General features: G+C 40.1%; 2 annotated features.

The window, feature by feature from the left end:
- Window positions 690–1,889: an enhancer, noted in NCBI's record as "MED14-independent group 3 enhancer chr2:6677962-6679161 (GRCh37/hg19 assembly coordinates)". NCBI's record gives its function as "activates an origin of replication core promoter dependent on BRD2, BRD4, P300/CBP and CDK7 cofactors, and independent of MED14, by STARR-seq in HCT116 cells {active_cell/tissue: HCT116}" and the evidence as "EXISTENCE:reporter gene assay evidence [ECO:0000049][PMID:35650434]".
- Window positions 19,181–20,380: an enhancer, noted in NCBI's record as "BRD4-independent group 4 enhancer chr2:6696453-6697652 (GRCh37/hg19 assembly coordinates)". NCBI's record gives its function as "activates an origin of replication core promoter dependent on BRD2, P300/CBP, MED14 and CDK7 cofactors, and independent of BRD4, by STARR-seq in HCT116 cells {active_cell/tissue: HCT116}" and the evidence as "EXISTENCE:reporter gene assay evidence [ECO:0000049][PMID:35650434]".

The following is a 21,024-nucleotide window of genomic DNA, read 5'->3' on the forward strand; positions in this document are numbered from 1 at the left end:
AGATGTAAAATTTTAGTGTGTGTGTACATATTCTTTTAATGGTATAATCAGATATAGTTATAATTAAAATGGAAGCTCAGCTCACAGAGGCACTGTGTGTACTTTCTACAAGGGTGTAGGAGTCTTGGGTCTTTTCAGTAAATTAGGAGAGTATATGCACTCCAAAATTAAAATGGAACTCAAAAAGGCGGATTTGTTTATTTCTATTTAAAAGTACACGTTCTGTGGCTGGCAAGATGGCTGAATAGGAACAGCTCCAGTCTGCAGCTCCCAGCGAGATCAACACAGAAAACTGGTGACTTCTGCGTTTCCAGTCGAGGTAACTGGCTCATCTCATTGGGACTGGTTAGACAGTGGGTGCAGCCCACAGAGGGCAAGCCAAAACAGGGTGGGGTGTCACCTCACCCCAGAAGCACAAGGGGTCGGGGAACTCTCTCCCCTAGCCAAGGGAAGTCCTGAGGGACTGTGCCATAAGGAATAGTGCATTCTGGCCCAGATACTACACTTTTCCCGTGGTCTTCACAACCCACAGATCAGACCAGGAGGTTCCCTCGGGTGCCTACGCCACCAGGGCCCTGGGTTTCAAGCACAAAACTGGGCAGCTGTTTGGGCAGACACCAAGCTAGCTGCAGAAGTTTTTTTTCATACCCCAGTGGTGCCTGGAACGCTGGTGAGACAGAACCGTTCACTCCCCTGGAAAGGGGGCTGAAGCCAGGGAGCCAAGTGGTCTAGCTCAGCAGATCCCACCCCCACGGAGCCCAGCAAGCTAAGATCCACTGGCTTGAAATTCTTGCTGCCAGCACAGCAGTCTGAAGACAACTTGGGATGCTCGAGCTTGGTTGGGGGAGAAGTGTCCACCATTACCCATTACCAAGGCTTGAGTATGCGGTTTTCCCCTCACAGTGTAAACAAAGCCACTGGGAAGTTCAAACTGGGCGTACCCCACCACAGCTTGGCAAAGCTGCTGTAGCCAGTCTTCGTCTTTAGATTCCTCCTCTCTGGGCAGGACGGACATCTCTGAAAGAAAGCCAGCAGCCCCAGTCAGGGGCTTACAGATAAAACGCCCATCTCCCTGGGACAGAACACCTTGGGGAAGGGGCGGCTGTGGGTGCAGCTTCAGCAGACTTAAACATTCCTTCCTGCCAGCTCTGAAGAGAGCAGTGGATCTCCCAGCACAGCAGTCAAGCTCTGCTAAGGGCAGACTGCCTCCTTAAGTGGGTCCCTGACCCCCGTGCCTCCTGACTGGGAGACACCTTCCAGCAGGGGTCAACAGACACCTCATACAGGAGAGCTCTGGCTGGCATCTGGCGGGTGCCCCTGAGACGAAGCTTCCAGAGGAAGGAACAGGCAGCAATATTTGCTGTTCTGCAGCCTCTGCTGGTGATACCCAGGCAAACAGAGTCTGGAGTGGACTTCCACCAAACTCCAGCAGACCTGCAGCAGAGGGGCTTGACTATTCGAAGGAAAACTAACAAACAGAAAGGAATAGCATCAACATCAACAAAATAAATCAACAAGGAAAAGACAAATAACATTATTAAAAAATGGGCAAATGGCATGAACAGCAACTTCTCAAAAGATGACATTTAAGTGGCCAGTAAACATATAAAAAATATTCATCATCATGAATCATCAGAGCAAAGCAAATCAAAACCACAATGAGACAGCATCTTACATCGGTCAGATGGCTATTCTTAAAAAGTCAAAAAACAACAGGTGCTGGCAAAGCTGTGGAGAAAAGAGAATGCTTATACACTGTTGGTGGGAATGTAAATTAGTTCAGCCACTGTGAAAAGCAGTTTGGAGATTTCCCAAATAACTTAAAACAGAGCTACCATCCGACCCAGCAATACCACTACTGGGTATTATACCCAAAGGAAAATAGATCATTATATCAAAAAGACAAATGCATTCATATTCAGCACCTCATTATTCACAATAGCAAAGACCTGGACTTAACTTAGGTGCACATTAATGGTGGATTAGGTAAAGAAAATATAGTACATATATACTACGAAATACTAAACAGCCATACATAAGAATGAAATCTTATCCTTTGCAGCAACATGGAGCTGGAGGCCAACCCTAAGTGAATTAATGCAGGAATAGAAAACCAAATACCACTCTGTTCTCACTTATAAGTGGTAGCTAAACATTGAGCACACATGGATGTAAACATGGGAACAACAGACACTGCAGACTATTAGAGGGTGGAGCAAGGGAGCAGGGCATGCATGGAAAGTAACAATCCACACATGTTCCCATTGTATCTAAAATAAAATATGAATTAAAAAAACAAGTTACAAAATGTGCTAATTTAAATTTTACATGTGTTATAAAACTCAACAATAAGCAGAGCAATTATTTAGAACTTAGACCAATCAAATAGTATTTTTCAGAAAGGTGTATGTTATCCCTGATGTTGTTTAGAATTGCCAGCATATGTTGATAGTGAAAAGAAGACTGACGTTTTATTCCTGATTTAAGTATTCTGTAAACAAGGCTGGTATTGCCCTAATGCCTGCTGTCACTGCCCAGAGTTGGCATGCTACTCCAACCAAGAGAGGATGAATCACAAAATAGTATTATTGAATGCTGAGCAGACTTGCTGTCCCCTTAAAGTGACTGCCATCATTTCATGTGGGGCCTGGGAGTCAGGAGAAAAGAGCAGCTTTCATGGATATGTCCCTAAGGGCCACTAGAGCCTGTGATACCATCTCCTTCCCAACATGCCTTCCTATCCTGTTTGGCTGGTCTGTCTGGGATGCACTCATCCAAGGAGACACAAACAGTTATCCATGCATATAGGGACCCTGTAGATGGAGTCCAAGGTGTCACAAAGAACTGCCACCATTCAATTCTGTGGGACCTCCTAAAGTCCTGGAATGGCCCACATTAATCTCATTGTTAGGAGCTTTAAGAAAACTCTTCAAAGGACTTGATATGGTTTGGCTGTGTCCCCACCCAAATCTCATCTTGAGTTGTAGTTCCCAAAATCCCCATGTGTCGTAGGAGGGACCAGGTAGAGATACTTGAATCATGGGGGCAGTTTTCCCCATCCTGTTCTCACGATAGTGAGTAAGTTCGCACAAGATCTGATGGTTTCATAAAGGGCTTCCCCCTTCGTTCTGCTATCATACTTCTCCTTCCTGCCACCATATGAAGAAGGATGTGTTTCCGTCCCCTTCTGCCATGATTGTAAGTTTCCTGACACCTTTCCAGTCCTGCGGAACTGTGAGTCAATTAAACCTCTTTCCTTTATAAATTACCCAGTCTCAGGCACTTCTTTGTAGTAACGTGACAATGGACTAATACAGGGCTTCATTTTGTGCCATATACCTAGGGATGCTCCAGAAATGTGCAGTGATGATGATGATGATATTATGCCATTGCTGGCAAACATCACAATTTGAACTCATTTGAACACTGCATGGAGGAGCAATTACATACTGATTGCAATGTTGCTAGGCACTGTTCTAAGTGTTTTATCTATTTTAACATTTTATATTTCCAATAACCCTATGAAATAAACATTATTTATATCCCCATTTTCAGATGAGAAAACTGAACTCCTTATTTTTGCACAAATAACTTGTGCAAAATCATGCAGCAAATAAATAACAGAGCCAGAACTCAAACCAAGGAGGTAGCCTCCAAAGTCCAAACTCTTAGCCAGCCTGTTCTGCCATCCCCCTAAAGTACTCTGTGGTTATGGTCAGATATTGCCTTCATGTATCACATGGAGAAAGCCATGATGTACCTCATCTTCATGAAACAGAAATTGTGTTTTCTGTTAAATGACTTAAGTTTGTTGGTTTGCTTATTTATTATTTATTTATTTTTAGTGCCTGGTATAAAAGCCTCTTTAGCTAAGTAAAGTGTCTTCCTCCAATGAGATTTTCATCTATAGGAAGGAAATGACACCTACTATGTGAACCTACTATGTGTCAGATTCTGAGTCAGGAGATTTGCCTATGTCATTGTATTTAATTATCACAGTTCTGTAAGACAGATATTTTGAATGCCTCCCTGTTTTTTTCATTAGGAAAACCAAAATGCAAAAAAGTAAGTCATTTGTACAAGGTTTCTGTAGCAGGTAAAAAATAGAAATGAAAATTATATTCAAGTTTTTCTGGGCAAAAAGTTTAGATTGCTGTTACACCAACTCACAGCTCTGAGTGTGACGGTACAGACTGTAACCGACACTGCTCATGTGCATCCATTATCTCCAAAACCTGGACACTGAAGCACAGCCTCCTTGACAAAGAAGCAGCATCAGACTATTCTTTCAAAGACTTCACTACGGATTAGACCACGCTGGAAGGGCCCATCCCACGGGCAGCCTAGCTGCAGGCCAGCAGGGGACCCATGCAGTGTCCAACATGAAGGCCACTGCCCGCTAGGTCTTACAATAATTAGTAAAGGCAAATACATAAAAACTTCCTGCAATATTGCTACCAGTGGCAAAGATCTGAATTAGCTGTAGTTACAGGCAGCAAATCCATATGAGCCTGCAGCAACTTCCATTCTTGCCTCCTAAGAAGAAATAATTTGAGGGGCATAAAGCAGAAAAAGAAACCTAGGCAAGTTTCAGAGCAGGAGTGGAAGTTTATTTAAGAGGCTTTAGAATAGGAAGGAAAAGGAAGTTCACTTGGAAGAGACCCAACTAGGCACCGAGGTCCAAAAGAAAAAAAAAAGAAGAACCTTTAACCTTGATCCTGGGACTTTATAGGCTCGCCTATTTCCCATGATTCCTCCCTTAGGGTGGTCTTTCCACATGCGCCGTGCTCTCCTTACCCTTGAGAAATGAGCATGCGCAGCGTGTTTAGGGAGTTGTATGCATGCCTATCTGAGGCTTTCTTCTTGTTTTCCCGTGGAGTATATCCACAAGATCATACTTCGCCATTTTTGTCTCTTAATGTGCATGGCCAGGGAGTGGCTTCTCCCTGGGCCTGCCTTTAATTAACACGTAATGTTAACAGGTGTGGACCATCAGAAAATGGCCTCTCCCCGGCTCTGGCTGCCAATTTATCACATTTAGAGAGTCAGTGCATTAATTGCCGAACCATCACCTGACATATCTAATGGGAAAAGGGAGAGTCATCTCCTGCCCCTCTCATGCCCATCTACCTGTAACAATATCTACTGGAGAACAGAGAAGGAATTCGCCGACTCACGGCAAAATGCCAAGGATGCACCCAAGTTGTTCAGAAAAGATGACATGAGAAGGTAAAATCCAGAGACAGCAGGAAAGCCCTAAGCGGACTAAAATCTGGAAGGTTTCCCAGCCCCTAATCCCACACACAGGTAATTCCCTCTCTTGTTTTATATACTTACCGTGATTTCTTTTATTAAGAAAATAGAAGTTTACGGCAAATTGCCATTTTTGTGTATTTTTCACAAATTGTTGACTTAATAATAGTTGTTAGTTTTTAAATCATAATACATGTTTCAAAACAATGTTTTTTCTTAGTCATAGAATGAGCTCTCAAAGGTACCATAGTCTTAAGTCTATGTGTTAAAGTTAAAATTAAATAGCACTGTGTTTGAAACCTGAAAACTCTCAATTCAGGTAGCATCTTTCTCATTCCCATCTGTGCAGAGAACTTCAATAAAATTAATATATTTTCAGAACTTCAGTTTCTCATCTAAAGAGATATTATATATATACATATACATATATGTAGTCTATCTAACACATAGAACTGAAAAATGTGAAAATACATGTGAAAGTTCTTTATAAATGCTAAAGTGTATCAAATCAAAATTTGTTTAATCATCTGTAAAAACCCAGTTATAGTCATACAGAAAAAGATTGGCCAAATGATACAGCCCAAGGAATAAGGGAAGGTTTCCCTGATGAAGTGGACTTTGAAGTAAAATATGAAGGATAAGTCTCAGAGCAAAAAAGGTGAGAAAAAAATTCTAGGCACATGGGAAAGTCCTGGGTAGGAGATGTGTTATGCTGATGTCAACTGCAACTGGCTTACGAGAGCCTATAGTTAAATTTTAAGGAATTTTGCATGCCCTGTTGTTAAACGCAGCCTTTTTTTTTTTTTTTTTAAGACAGTGTCTCACTCTGTCACCCAGGCTGGAGTGCAATGGCATGACCTTGGCTCACTGCAACCTCTACTTCCCGGGTTTAAGCAATTCTTGTGCCTCAGCCTCCCAAGTAGCTGGGATTAAAGGCCCACACCACCACGCCCAGCTATTTTTTTGTGTTTTTTTTTTTTTTAATGGAGATGGGGTTTCGCCATGTTGCCCAAGCTGGTCTCGAATTCCTGGGCTCAGGCAATCCTCCTGCCTCGGCCTTGCAAAGTGCTGAGATTACAGGCATGAACCACCATGCTCGGCCTGAAACACAGCCATTGTTAAAACTAATTAAACACATTTGTAATGCATTTATTATAATAACACCTTTCATTACAGTTAAATTAATTATGTTAAAATAAAGGCAATAAATAATCAAGACTCACTTCCCACTTCTTTTACCATTATCTATGCTTTTAGATTAGGTATGCCTATTGTATTTGTATGGTGGAAATACTATACAATGTGCTTCTTACTATGTTTCTCTTCTTAATTCAGCATTCAGTGGTGTCACATTGGCAGTCTGAAATAAGTCATGGTGGGAATATTCGCATCATGAAAATAGGCAAATATTACAAAGCAGGGCTTGATTTATAGTTCTGTTGATTGTCTAAATTAAAGCAAATGATTAAAAAATCTTAATAATGCTGACCATACTTAAAAGTGTGTATGTCTATAGCTGTTACATTGTGAGTAATACAAAAAAATGGAGCAAGTAGTCTTCAGTAATTGAGAACTCTTATCTGGTTCAGCAAGTAGGTCACTGATATCCTTGACAGATTAGTGAAGTTCCAGTACACATCTTTGTTATTTTACTTTTGTCTTATTTGTTTGCTAAATAAAAATACCATCAACATTACATTGGAACTTTATTTATTTGTCAATGCTGTGAGAAACTCCTTTGCAGAATCAGATAGTAATCAGATGTTTATTTATTCATGGTCTAATTTTGTCAAATCTCACTTTCATTACAACAGTAAGCTGGTGATAAGACTGGTTATGAATACATATGTTTGGCAAAAATCAATGAAATCATCCTGGGAGAATTAATTGGCAAAATGGGATTTACAAAAAGGTATTACATAGTTTATTATTTGAAAATTATAAATTTTAAAACAAATTTATACACACATATGTATAATATACTTTTTGTTCCTAGAGACTTAATCATTAAACACTTGCCAGAGGCTGGGTGCGGTGGCTCACTCCTGTAATCCCAGCACTTTGGGAGGCTGAGGCGGGCGGATCACGAGGTCAGGAGATCGAGACCATCCTGGCTAACACGGTGAAACCCCGTCTCTACTAAAAATACAAAAATTAGCTGGGCGTGGTGGCGGGTGCCTGTAGTCCCAGCTACTCAGGAGGCTGAGGCAGGAGAATGGCATGAACCCAGGAGGCAGAGCTTGCAGTGAGTCAAGTTCTCACCACTGCACTCCAGTCTGGGCGAAGGCAAGACTCCGTCTAAAAAAAAACCACACACACACACAAAAAAACACTTACCAGAGTACCACTGGGTGGGAGAAGTCACAGTGTGATAGAACAAAAAATAGATTAAAATTGTGAAATAAATAGAGAGAGAGAAAGGCAAAGAATAAGGAGCATGAAAATGGTGGGAACCAGATCCTACATAGAAGGTTTACCCTGAGAACTTTGGAAAGGCAGTTAAAAGTTTTTAAGCAATAATATCAAATGATCTAACTTTTGTCTTAAAAATATGTCTGGAAAAATTAAAGAAAGATTGGAAGAGATCAAGAGAGTATAAATTAAAAGATCAGTCTTGGGGTATTTCAGTATTTCAAATGATAGATTATGATAGCAAGAACTAGAATGTGGCTGAAAGATATAATCTGTATAGCCAGGGTATGTAATGCTCAGATGCTGTAACAAATAATTCCAAAATATTTATTGGACTATTAAAATAAGGACTTACTGCTCACTCACATCAGTGCAATTAAAGGTTAGTCGGGCAGTTTCCATATGATGATTCAAGGATGAAATGCCTTTCATTTATGGCTCCACTGACCCATAATCTGAACTGAAAAACAGGGTGAAGAGAGAATAGAGGATAAAACAATGTGGCTGGAAGTGGCTAACATTCCATTGCCCCAAATTAATCATATAGTTATACAGGGACTTTTAATGCATCTTTCCTTTATGTTCAGAAGGAAATGTTAAATGGTTTCTTTGTTCAATTTCACTTTGGAAAATTCTTATTTTCTGACTTTCCAGAAACAACCGAACACTTGTTGATTGAATGCATAGACATTCCTCATTAATCATTTAACTTCCTCATTTTAGCAAACTCTAGAGAACTGGAAAAACTGGTCCTGGGAAAAGTTTATAGTAAGTAGAAAAAAGCTTAGGTTTCAGTTTAATTTGATTTGGGGTCTGCTGTTCTATCTCTCTGTGACCTGGAACAAATCTTTTTGTTTGTTTCTGGGCCTCAGTTTTGAAACTTTATCAAAAGGGGGAAATAATAACTTTTCAACTTTGGGAAGAGCTAATGAAACCAAAGAAATACAGGTAGGGTACATCTTGTAAGGTGTTAGCATTCATATGGGAACCTAAAATTTCAAGAGAGCCTCTTAATTGGAATCCTAAATATACTGATGGGAAGATTGCATGCATTTCTAATAATATAAAGATACCATGATTTTTTTTTAAATTGGGAAGTCTGCTTCCTGCTCTGCTGAAGCAGCAAGAAAAGAATCCGTTGCTTAGCTTGCCTGGTGGAAAACGCAGCAAGACTGGGCCTGCTTAGCAGTGTGCATGTTCCACCAGCTGTGCGGTTTTGGGGTGCAGTAGTTAGTTGCATGATGCGTATTACTAAGAGGATTTTTGCAATTTTACTGAAATCAGAATATACATTAATACATGTTTCCTAGAAAGTGCTTGTACATTCTTGAGTGATGGATAGACTAAGACTCAATTTAAGTAAACAGACAAAAAAATGAGGGCTTTATTTTTAAATTTCTCCTAAGCCACATAAAATTTAGTTGGCAACTGGTCTTTATCCATTGAAAAAAAACAACAGCAGAAAATGAGCATTGGTTTAAAATAATCAGCAATAAATATATCAATAGAGATATACTATTGTGTGCTTATTATACATGTTTTATAAAATGAATAGCAACCTTTTGAATTTTCATGATTTCTCCCTACAAAAAGCAATAGATGCTCTTCCTTTTCTCCCCCATATGTCTTCTGTGAATCCACCTTTCCAATCTACCTACACTGTTTCCATTACTTCTCTATGGCCATGTCTCTGGCCTTGCCCAGTTCTCAACTGTTCTATACAAAGGTGTTTCTAATATTACCACTCCCTTTTTCCATAGCCTTCACTTGTACTCAGTCTCCTACAGGATACTAAGTGGTATCTGCTGTGGTTTGAACGTTTGTGGTCCGCCAAAATTCACATATTTAAATCCTACCCCTAAAGTGATGGTTTTAAGAGGTGGGAGCTTTGAGAGGTGAGGAGGTCATGAGGATGGAGCCTTCATGTATGGGATTAATGCCCTTATAAAAGCTCAAGGGAGCTGCCTTGCCCCTTTCACCTTGTAAGGACACAGGGAGAAGCACCATCTATAAACCAGAAAGCAGGCCTTCGAGAGACACTGAATCTGCCTTGAACTTCACAGCCTCCAGAAATGTGAAGAATAAATTTCTGTTGCTTTCAAGCCTCTCAGTCTGTGGTGTTTTGTTATAGCAGCCCAATGGACTGAGACAGCATAAGAGGTTCCTCTTCTCAGTTGCAGACCCTTCTGGCTGTGTCCTCATTTAGTAGAAGAAGGACAAAAAACCTCTCTGGAGTCTGTCTCATAAGGGGCACTAATTCCATTCATGAGGGTTGCAGCCCTCATGACCTCATAATCTCCCAGAAGTCTCACCTCCAAATACTGTCACATTGGGAGTTGGGAGTTCAACATATGAATTTTCGAGGAACACAAACATTCTGACCACAGCAGCATCCAAAGTCTTTAAAGAATAGATCTCACAGATCTCTCTAGCCTGACTTCCTATCCTTTCCCTTTCATTCTTTATGGATCAAATATATGTAGCAATTAGTGGTTTATTTAATAAGCCAGACATGATCATGATTTTGGGCCACTATATATATCTTTCTGCCACCTGGAAATGTTTATTTATCTACTTGATTAGTAACAAACTTCTATTCTCCTTTCAAGCCTCAGCTCAAGTTTCTTAAGACCTCATGAATTTTTCCGGGCTGAAAGATAATACTAACACTACTAATAATAACAATAATAATAATATTCTAAAAGTCCCTTTTTAACTACAGTGCTCATATAAACCTTCATTAGAACAACCACAGTATTGTATCTGATGCTATTGAACTGCTAAGCACCTAAAGAGCCAGGACCTTGTCTTTTTATCCCACAGCTCCATGCTTGGCACACAGAAGGTACTTCATGAATGTTCATAGCAGGAAGAAAGATCCCAAAGACTGAAGGATTCATCTTTGGTATATGGGCCACCCACCTGATAAGCACCTCTGGGTGGCTCCCTAGATCTGAAATTCACCTGTAACCCAGGTGTCTCTTGTCCTGCCATCTTCAGTTGCATACATTAGAGACATCAGTTTGTTTTCATGCTGTACCAACCTAAGTATAGAACTTAGCTTCTTCAATTTTTCTTAAAAAAAAATCAACATATTAAATTTAACCAGCAATGTGGACTTTTTAGAAGATACTATAGGGGTGATAGCAGGAGAGTTATAGATTGAAAAATCTTTCCCCCCCAAAAAAAAAGCCTAAAATTTCCCTTTTCTATTTCTCTAAGCCTCTTCTACTTCTGCAGCAGAGTTATGGAGTGTCTTGCTTCTCCCAGTTGCACATGCTCCAAGGAATCCTACAGTGTCCTCTCCCCTCGATGAGACATGATCTGAAGGTAGTCAGTTGTCCTGATTTGCATGAGACTTAGATTTTCCAAGATGTGGAAATTTTGGTGCTAAAACCAGGAAAGTCCAAGGCAAACTGCAGTAGCTAGTCACCCAAAACAGTTCTCTGAGAGGCAGATGTTAAAACAGAAATAGGTAAGTGAGAATTTTATTAGGCGAAACACCTGTGCAAAAAATAAATAAAATAAAATAAATTGGAGGGGGACCTGGAAGAAGCTGGGAGAGTCACAGACCGTGATGCAACTCTGACCTGGAGAGAAAGAAAGAAAAAGGGGGGGTTGGATGGGAGCAGCCTGGTCTACTGAGGATTTTAGGAAAATTCTGCAAGGCTGTGGGAGGCCTCTTGCCAATGTCAGCCAAAGCAGGGCTTGTGTCTCTCATGATTCTCCAAGTCTAGAGCCCTGCCTTGGAGCATTTTTCCTGAGCTCAGTCATTGCCTGAGAGTAGTCATGGCAAGTGTGGCCTCCACATAAATGCAGGGATAGATTTACAGTTGGACCCTTGATCCATGAAGCTCCCTAGGATTGGAGAATCCCTGGAATTCTCACTACTGCCACACTCTTCCACATGCAAAGCATTTGAATTTGTCCCAAATCTCATCCAGCACAAAGCTCCACTACTCTCCTGCCCTGCCTCTAGTTGAAAGAATCTATCATTCACAGAATTGGGTTGAGAAACACATTTTGAAATATGGACATGCTCCTTGGGGTCCAATCACCCAAGAATATTAGTGGATGAATATTTACTCTTTTGATTACATCATTAGTAGGCATTAATTTGAGATCTCACCCAATTTCTCAATTTCTTTCTCTTTTTTTTTTTTTTTTTTTTTTTGAGACTGAATCTCACTCTGTTGTCCAGGCTGGCGTACAGTGGCATCATCTTGGCTCACTGCAACCTCTACCTCCCGGGTTCAAACTATTCTCCTGCCTTAGCCTCCCAAGTAGCTGGGATTACAGGGACCCACCACCATGCCTGGCTAATTTCTGTATTTTTACTTGAGTCAAGGTTTCACCATGTTGGCCAGGCTGGTCTTGAACTCCTGACCTCAGGTGATCTGCCCTCCTCGGCCTCCCAAAGTGCTGGGGTTACAGGTGTAAGACACTGCACCCCACCCCAGTTTCTGAAAATAAAGTCCTTAGAAATGCATAACACTAAACAGTACTGAAGGTCACTGAAGGTCTAGTGACTTGAAATTATTTATTTGTTTTGACTAGGAGATCTACACTCCTGAGAGTCTCAACTTTCTGAAGAAAGGGTTGTCTTGAAGTCAAAGTCTTGCCATTTGCAGAGGGCCCATACTCCTTATCCAGACATGATGCAGGGAGGCACCAAAGAACTTGAGCTAACCTTCAGATGGTCTCTGCAAGGTTTTCTTTATCTTCCTTTTTTCTTCCTTTACTTCTCCTTTTTATTCTCCTTCTCTTTCCCTTCCTTCCTCCCTCTCTTCCTCCTGCTTCTTCCTTCCATTATTCCTTCTTCCCTCTCTCCCTCATTCTTTCCTTTCTTCCTTCCTTTTTCCTTTCCTTTCAAAACATTTATTTCATACTATAGACATCGACCTTCTTATCCTTATAACAACTAGCAACGCTACCAGGTGGTAATTGTTATTCCCATTTCTAGGGAGAAAAACCAATTCTCAAAAAGGGAAATGTAGATAATAGTAATCCAAAATGTGTTCCCTGAGGGAAGAAAGTCTCTCCTTCACAGCTGCAAATTTAACACTGAATAGAATGGGAAATTCTGAGTTCAGAATTGCCTATAAAAAGATTTTGTAAAGAAGAAAGAAAGGAAAAAAAGGAAAGAGGCATTGCAGGTTTTATACCACAAATTATTGCTGTTTCAACTACAATCTGCCTCCTAGTTTCTGACTTACCATTAAATGAAGCAAGACAATAATTGGAAAACTCATGCAAAATCTTGCCTAGAGCTGTCTTAGGCCCATCCTCTGAGCTCTCTGTGTTCTAAGAGTTAAGCTCAAGGATAAGAGATAACCTCTAGGCATTATAATAACTAGATTTTAACCCTAAACCTAAGTTCAAGAGCACACTGTCCACTGTGAATGGAAAAAACAAAGTTGGAGGGAGAGGCTCTTTTACAATAAACTCCTCAGCAGAGATTGCCTCAGAGTTTTTCCCAGATTTCAAAATAGCCACATTAGTGATTTTACAAAAGCATATCACATGTGATCAAAGATTTAAAACTGCTTTTTCTCACTAGCACAAAGACAAGAGACCATAACTGGACAATATAAATTAGTGAAGTATATGAAAATCTGTTACCACCATGGTAAGGATTTACTTATTTTAAAAGTGAATTAATTTCCAAGTTTTTTTGTTCGTTTGTTTTCACCCTACAATGGTTACTTTTATGTATCAACTTGGCTGGGTTATTGTGCCCAGTTGTTTGGCCAAACACTAGTCCTGATGTTGCTGGGAAAGTATTTTTGAGATGTGGTGAACAATTAAATCAGTAGAAACTAAGTAAAGCAGATTACCGTCTGCTATGGTCTGAACATGTTCTCCAAAATGCATGTGTTGTCAGCTTAATCTTTAATGCAATGGTGCTGAGACATAAGGACTAATGGAAAGTGCTTAGGTCATGAAGACTGCCCTCAGGAACAAATTAATAATGCTACAAAAAGTGCTGGTGGGAGTGGGTTCAATCTCTTTTGCTTTTCTGCCATGTGAGAACAGAATCTGTCCCTTTCTTGCCTTTCGACCTTCTGCCTTGTGAGGATGCAACAAGAAAGTCATCATCAGATGTTGGTGACTTGATCTTGGACTTTACAACTTTCAGGACTGTAAGAAATAAATTCATGTTCTTTATAAATTACCAAGTCTGTGGTATTTTATTAAAGCAGCATAAAACAGACCAGGACAGAAATTGGTACCATGAGTGGGATGTTACTATAACAAATACCTAAAAATGTGAAAGCAGCTTTGAAACTAGGCAATGAGTAAAGACTGAAGCAGTTTGGTAGTGAAGACTGGAAAAAAGCCTCAATTTCTGTGAACAAAGTGTTTGTAGAAATATGGACAGTGAAGGCCATTCTGATGAGGTCTTAGACAGAGATGAGTAGTGAGGCGTTGGAAAATAGAGGTAATGTCATCCTTGTTACAAAGTAGCAAAGAACTTTGATGAATTGTGGTCATATCCTAGGACTCTACCGAAGCCAGAACTTAAGAGTGATGAACTGGGATATTTTGCAGAAGAAATCTCTAAACAGCAAAGCATTCAGTGTGCTGCTGTGGGGCCTCTCTTAACTATTTACAGTAAAATGTGAAAAGACAGAAACAATTTAAAAGCATATTTTTTATTGAAAATGGAAGCAGAATGTTAAGATTTGGAAAATTCTCAGCTTGACTATTGAAAGAAATTTTAAAAAGCTTATTTAGGAGAGCAAACCAAAGATGTTGTCAAGAGACCATTTGATGAGGATATGAGTATCAACAGAAGAAAGCCAGAGTCTATTCATCAAGGCAATGGAAGAATGACTCTGAAGGCATTTCAGAGATTTTGAAGGCTGCCCCTATAATCACAGGCCCAGAGCGCTAAGGTTTTGAAGGCAGAGCAATTTAAAAGAAGGAGCCCAGGATGCCTGTGGTCACCTTGGGTCTTTACTCCCTGCATTCTGGTACAGCACTCCTCTACCCCAGCTCTGGCTCAAGCAGGCCAAATTTTGGCTCAGGCCACCACTTCAAAAGGCACTAGCAGTGAGCATTGATAGCATCCATGTGGTGCTAATTCTGCAAAGTGCAAGAGCTGTAGAGGCATGCCTGCTTTCACACAGAATTTAAATAAGGCGCAGAGAGCCCTTCTAGGACAATGTAAGGTAGAACTGTGGGGTCAGGGCTGCTATAGAGCATTCCCACTAAGACAATGCATAGTGGAACCCTGGGAGAGGTGGTGCCCCGAAGATTCCAGAATTATAGAGACACCAGCATTCAGGACGAGCCTAGGAAAGCCACAGGAGTATGATTTCAGTGAGTGAGAGCTGAAGTGTGTGCTTTCCCCAGCAAAGCTGTGGCGGAGTGACTACCCAAGGCTTTGGAGGCCCAATCCACACCCCATTTGTCTGGAAAGCAAGACATGGAGTTCAAAGAAAATTATTCTTCAGTCTTGAGATTCAATGTTGTCTGTCCTGCTAGGTTTGAGACTTGCTTAGGACCTTGTATTAGTTCATTTTTACACTGCTATAAAGAACTATCTGAGACTGGGTAATTCATAAAGAAAACAGGTTTAATTGGCTCCCAGTTCTGCATGGCTGGGAGGCCTCAGGAAACTTACAATCATGGCAGAAGGTGAAGGGGAGGCAGGCACCTTTTTCACAAGACAGAAGAGAGACAGAGCAAATAGGAAGTCCCACACTTTTAAATCATCAGATCTCATGAGAACTCACTCACTATCATAAGAACGAGGTGTGGAAAACCACCCCCATAATTCAGTCACCTCCCACCAGGTACCTCCCTTAACACATGGAGATTACAATTCGAGATTAGATTTGGGTGGGGACACTGAGCCAGATTATATCAGACCTGTTACTCCTTCCTTTTTTCTTATTGTTCCCTTTCCAACCAGAAATGTTTATCCTGGGCCTGTCCCACTAAGGTAATTTGAAAATGCGTAAGTTGTTTGATTTCATAGGCTCATAGCTAAAGAGCGGTTTGCCTCTGGATGAATCACAACTTCAGTCTTGCCCATACTATGTTTAGATGATACTTTGGATTTAGAATTTAAAGTTGATCCTGGAACAAATTAAGACTTTTGAGTCCATTAGGATGAAAGAAATGTATTTTGCATGTGAGAAGGACATGAATGTTTGGGGCCAGGAGCAAAATGCTATGGTCTGAATGTGTCCCCCAAATTCACGTGTTTGAAGCTTACTCCCTAATGCAATAGTGTTGGGAGGTGAGGCATAATGGGAAGTGTTTAGCTGATGAATGGAGTAGTGTCACTGTTGAAAGGGCTTGTAGGAGTGAGGTTGCTCTCTTCTAGTCTTCTTCCACATGAGGACACAGAGTTCCATCCTCTTTCACCCTTTTATATGTGGACACAATAAGATGGCCCACATCAGATGCTGATTCCTTGATCTTGGACTTCAGAGTCTCTAGAACTGTGAAAAATACATTTCTTTTCTTTATAAATTACCCAGTCTGTGATATTATTTACAGTAGTACAAAATGAAGTAAGACATCATCTATGCTGTAGGTGTCCTTCATCCAACCAGTTGAAAGGACTTAAGAGTAAAAATGGATTTCCTAGAGAAGAAGAAATTCTGCATCAAGCCTACATCATTAACTTCTGCCTGACTTTGTAGCCTTCTGGCCTGCCATACACAATTTGGACGTGCCAGCCCCCAAAATCATGCAAACTAATTCCTTCAAATAAATCTGTGGCGTGTGTTGTGGGGGTGGGAGAATACTATAATAGTGATAGCTTACATATATTATTACAAAATGACATTTTTAAACCAAAGATGAATTTAAGTTCTGCCCCAAATTTACTAAAATCAACGTTCAGAGAAATTTAGATCTTAAAGCTGGAAAAACCCTGAGAAGTCACTGGATCCAGCCTCCTCACTCTAACCAAGTTAAATTTATAATCATTTTTTCACCTCTGAGCCCACACCTTTCCAAGTCCTGCAGATCCACAGCTAGTAATGTGGTGCTGAGAGACAAAAGTCTAGAATGGAGCACTGTTGTACTATTGGAAGAGTACAGAATGACACCACCTCTCTGTAAATCACAGGGTTCACTGGTCTCAGTCAGAAAGACTGCTTCCCAGCAATACCTCTGATCAGCAGTACAGGGTTCAGTCCAACCTTCTGAGTCCTATGCACAAAACCCAGTGCTACTGATTATCAACAATAATCAACCTTTTATTTCAGATTCTAGTTATCATAGCATTTGCCATGAAGCCAAACTAAAACATTTCCTTTTTTCTAACGTATTTTAATAGCAGCAAAGGAGATTCATGGGGCAAATTGTCCTGTCCACACAATAGTAATTTTCCATTTCTTTAGCTTTTTTCTTCTTACTTGACAAAACCCTTAGAGACTATCAAACTGTCAAACCTCCGAATGCACAATTACAGCAGTAAATTGCAGTGTAAATTGATTTATTCCTAGGTAGATAGCCACCTTAAAAGATTCTACCTTGTTGCTTTCAAAGTGACCCTCCGATGGAGCCATTGGCTGGGGAAGTTGAGAAAGGAGCCCCAGGAACTGACCTCTAATTTTCCTAATATTGCTCAATGTGTAAAACACCTATGATTTGTTGAGGTTGTTCAGCGTGAGTTATATGCAAATCCTCCATGGCAACTGAGTCCTTAGAACAATCAGGAGTACAACAGAGTTGCTTCAAGAATGACAAAAGTGATTTTCCCCGAAAAAATTCTTGCTTCATGTGGGTGGTATCATTTTTAGCTTTCCATAGAGAACATCGAGAAATCTTGGTAGCCGACTGTCTGAGAGCACGCTGCATCGTCTCCTGACTCCTGTAATTATATTACGAAGTTTCAACATCCCTTGCCATTAAAGAAACATCACACCCTCTCACTGTATCTGCTGGCTTCTTTCCATCAAACATATTACCATCCATGTGTGACAGCCATGCAGTTGATGCTATGGGCGACTGTTGGCAAAATATTTCTAGAGAGCTGTAGTAGAGTGCTTTTGATGACATTCTAACAGGCAGATGTTTTGGTTCACTGTCTTTGGTTTGTCTCACCTCTAAGTCAATTTGTCAATAATTGGCATTTTAAATTCAGATCATTCCTTTCTTCTATTAGCAACTGTAAGTTCTTTAAAGTTTCTTAAACAGTTTTCTGGATATTATTTATATCTTCTTTTCTGAAAATCATTAAATCCAGTGGTTAGTGACGCAAAAAAAGTATGCTGAGAAGACAAAAAGCAAATTGATAGTAAATGAGGCAGCGGTCCAGGCTGAATGAATACCACACCATCCACAACAAAATCCAATGAAGGAGAAGCAGCGACGCCAACCAGCTGTATCTGTCTTATCTTCTGTACAGCCCTGACATACTGAAAAGCAGGTCGGACATAGTGGAAACACCACTAGACTTACAGTCATGAAGTCTGGCTCAGGGTCTTCTGAAATACACAAAGTTAATCTTAATTTTCTCATGTACAAAAAGGAAATAATACCATCTTTACACAGTTGCCACTGAGGACCAGATAAAACTTGTAAAATGTCAAAGCACACTTGAAGCAACCTCCAACATCTGTCATCTGATGTTTCTTTGCTACTTCAGACATTCTTTTTCTGCCTATTCTTTATTCCCAGAACACTACAGGCACACACTTTGTGTGTGTGTGTGCGTGTGTGTGTGTGTGTGTGTGTGTGTACATTTAAGGGATACAAGTGCATACTAAAAGCTCAGACTTCACCACTTCACAATATATCTATGTAGCAAAATATGTATCAAAATAGATATATTGTGAAGTGGTGAAGTCTGAGCTTTTAGTGTATCCATCCCCTGAATAATGTACATTGTACCCATTAAATAATTTCTCGTCAACCACCCCCTCTAGCCTTCCCACCCGTCCGAGTTTGCAATGCCTATGATTACACACTATGTCCATGCATATACCTTGTTTAGCTCCCACTTATAAGTGAGAACATGCAGTATTTGACTTTCTGTTTCTGAGTTGTTTCACTTAAGATAATGGCCTTCAGTTTCATTATAAAAAGAAAAAAAACATGATTTCATCCTTTTTATGGTTGAGGAGTATTCCATTATGTATTTATACCAAATTTTCTTTGTTCAGTCATACCTCGGTGGACACATAGGGTTGATTCCACATCTTTCATATCATGAATAGTGCTGTGATAAACATACTAGTGCAAGTGTCTTTTTGATATAATAATTTATTTTCATTTGGGTAGACAGTAGTGAGATTACAGGATTGAGTGATAGTTCTATTTTCAGTTATTTGAGAAATGTCTGTACTGTTTTCCGTGGAGGTTGTACTAATCTACATTCCCTTGAACAACATATAAACATTCCCTTTTCTTCACATCCTCACCAAAATCTGTTAATTTCTGACTTTTTAATAACAGTTATTCTGATTGGTATAAGATAGTATCTTGTTGTGGTTTTAATTTTCATTTCTCTTATGTTTAGTGATGTTGAGTCACAGAATTTGTGCCACTAACCTTGGCTGAAATGCCTTTTCCCTGATCTGAAGAAACTAAAAGGACATAAGCTCACCTTTCCCCTTTGTATGGATGTCTTTCTGAAGGTTCTGAATTTTTAAGGCAGTTTCTCTAAGAAAAACCTGGAAGTGTGAGAACACCTGAGTGTCCAAGGTTTCCAGTTTATGATGAATATGCTTGGAGAACATTTGAATAGAAAAAAACAAATCCGACAAAATATTGTCATCTATTAAAAAAAAAACTACAAGAATAAACAAAATGGAGAAGCCTAACTCCTTGAGGTTTTATTTATTTATTTATTTATTTATTTATTTATTTATTCATTTTTGAGACTGGGTCTTACTCTTTCTCCCAGGTTGGAGTACAGTAGTGCAATCATAAAGTTTACTGCAACCTTGATCTCCTGGCCTCAAGCGATCCTTCTGCCTCAGCTTTCAAAATAGCTGGAACTACAGGCTTAGCTATTTATTTTTATTTATTGTATTTTTTTAGTAGATATGAGGTCTTGCTATGTTGCTCAGGCTGGTCTTGTACTCTTGAGCTCAAGTGATCCTCCCACATTGGCCTCCCAAAGTGCTCGGATTACTAGCGTGAGTCACCATGCCCAGTTCCTTGAAGTTTTTAATACACCATGGCCTCATTAGATGGAACAGAAGATCTCAATGCTATGAGTCATGATCCTATTATTTCCTGTTTCCTGTTTTCCCTCCCTCCCCTATTTGTTTATTTATTTATTTCCTTCCTTCCTGTCTTCTAATCTACAACTAGTCAATATTAGTTTTCAGACTGTTAAGGCTGCCAGGCAGGTTAAAATTTAATACACGTGTAATTAGTGGTAAAGTAGAAGAGAATCTTCAAGTAAATAGCTCAGCAGCTGAGTTGGCCTATTGTGTTGCAAAATGAGCTGTGAACTTAATGTAAGAAGATCTGACGCTCTACTGAGGACGGCTGATGTTGCACTGAAGAGAATTTCACTCAAAATAGCTTGGGGAAAACAAGTGTCATGGTAAAGATGCTGGGATCACACAAGAACTGAACAAGACCTGCAACACAGCTGGACTGGATGGAAAATGAAGCCAGAGATTTGCTCTGGAATGAAAGCCGAACTTGAGCATAAATTGGAATCCCTCAAGAGTCAGGTAGGTAATGCAATTGTTTGAAGTGTCAAGGTGTCAGATAATAGAAGAGCACGAGGCTGTGATGCACTGGCAAATGCCAGACTTACCCAAAAGCATGAAAATTAAATGCTTCAGACAAACAGAGAGCCGGCCCAACAGTATGAACTCACCTGTTTGAGACTTTTGCTAAAGGAATTACTACCCGGTTTTCTCTACCAGGGCCATCACGATGTCTTCTTTTCTTTGTGATCTTTTCCAGTCTTCTCTATTGAACAATCTGCCTCCGCTGTTGACTCACTGTTTCTGACTCTTCATAACCTTCACTTGCATAGGTTCATATGAGATTCCCTCTGTCTTCTATATGATGACATTTCTCAGCATATTTTTCTTTCCTTTTTCTACTACCAATAATAACTGCATTCTTCTCTCAGTTTCCAAGAGAACATTCTGATTACTCTAGTTAATCAGTAGCCCTAGGGTAGGGTGCTCACCTGTTGGCCTTTTTAACTGTAGTTGAGAAACTCAAGTGAGAATACTTGAGTTTTGTGAAATAGAGCATGTTAACCCAAGAGGCAAACATGGATCAGATTTAGGACCTCTTTGTGTGATGTACAGTTGTATTCTACATACAGTGGGGGGAGGAGGGTGCCACTAAAAATATTACAGTATAAATGGCCTCCCCTGCAGTGTACAGTGCATGGCCTATGCAAGAGCGTGCAGT

This window comes from Homo sapiens, chromosome 2, assembly GCF_000001405.40.
Source record: "Homo sapiens chromosome 2, GRCh38.p14 Primary Assembly".
NCBI lineage: Eukaryota > Metazoa > Chordata > Mammalia > Primates > Hominidae > Homo > Homo sapiens.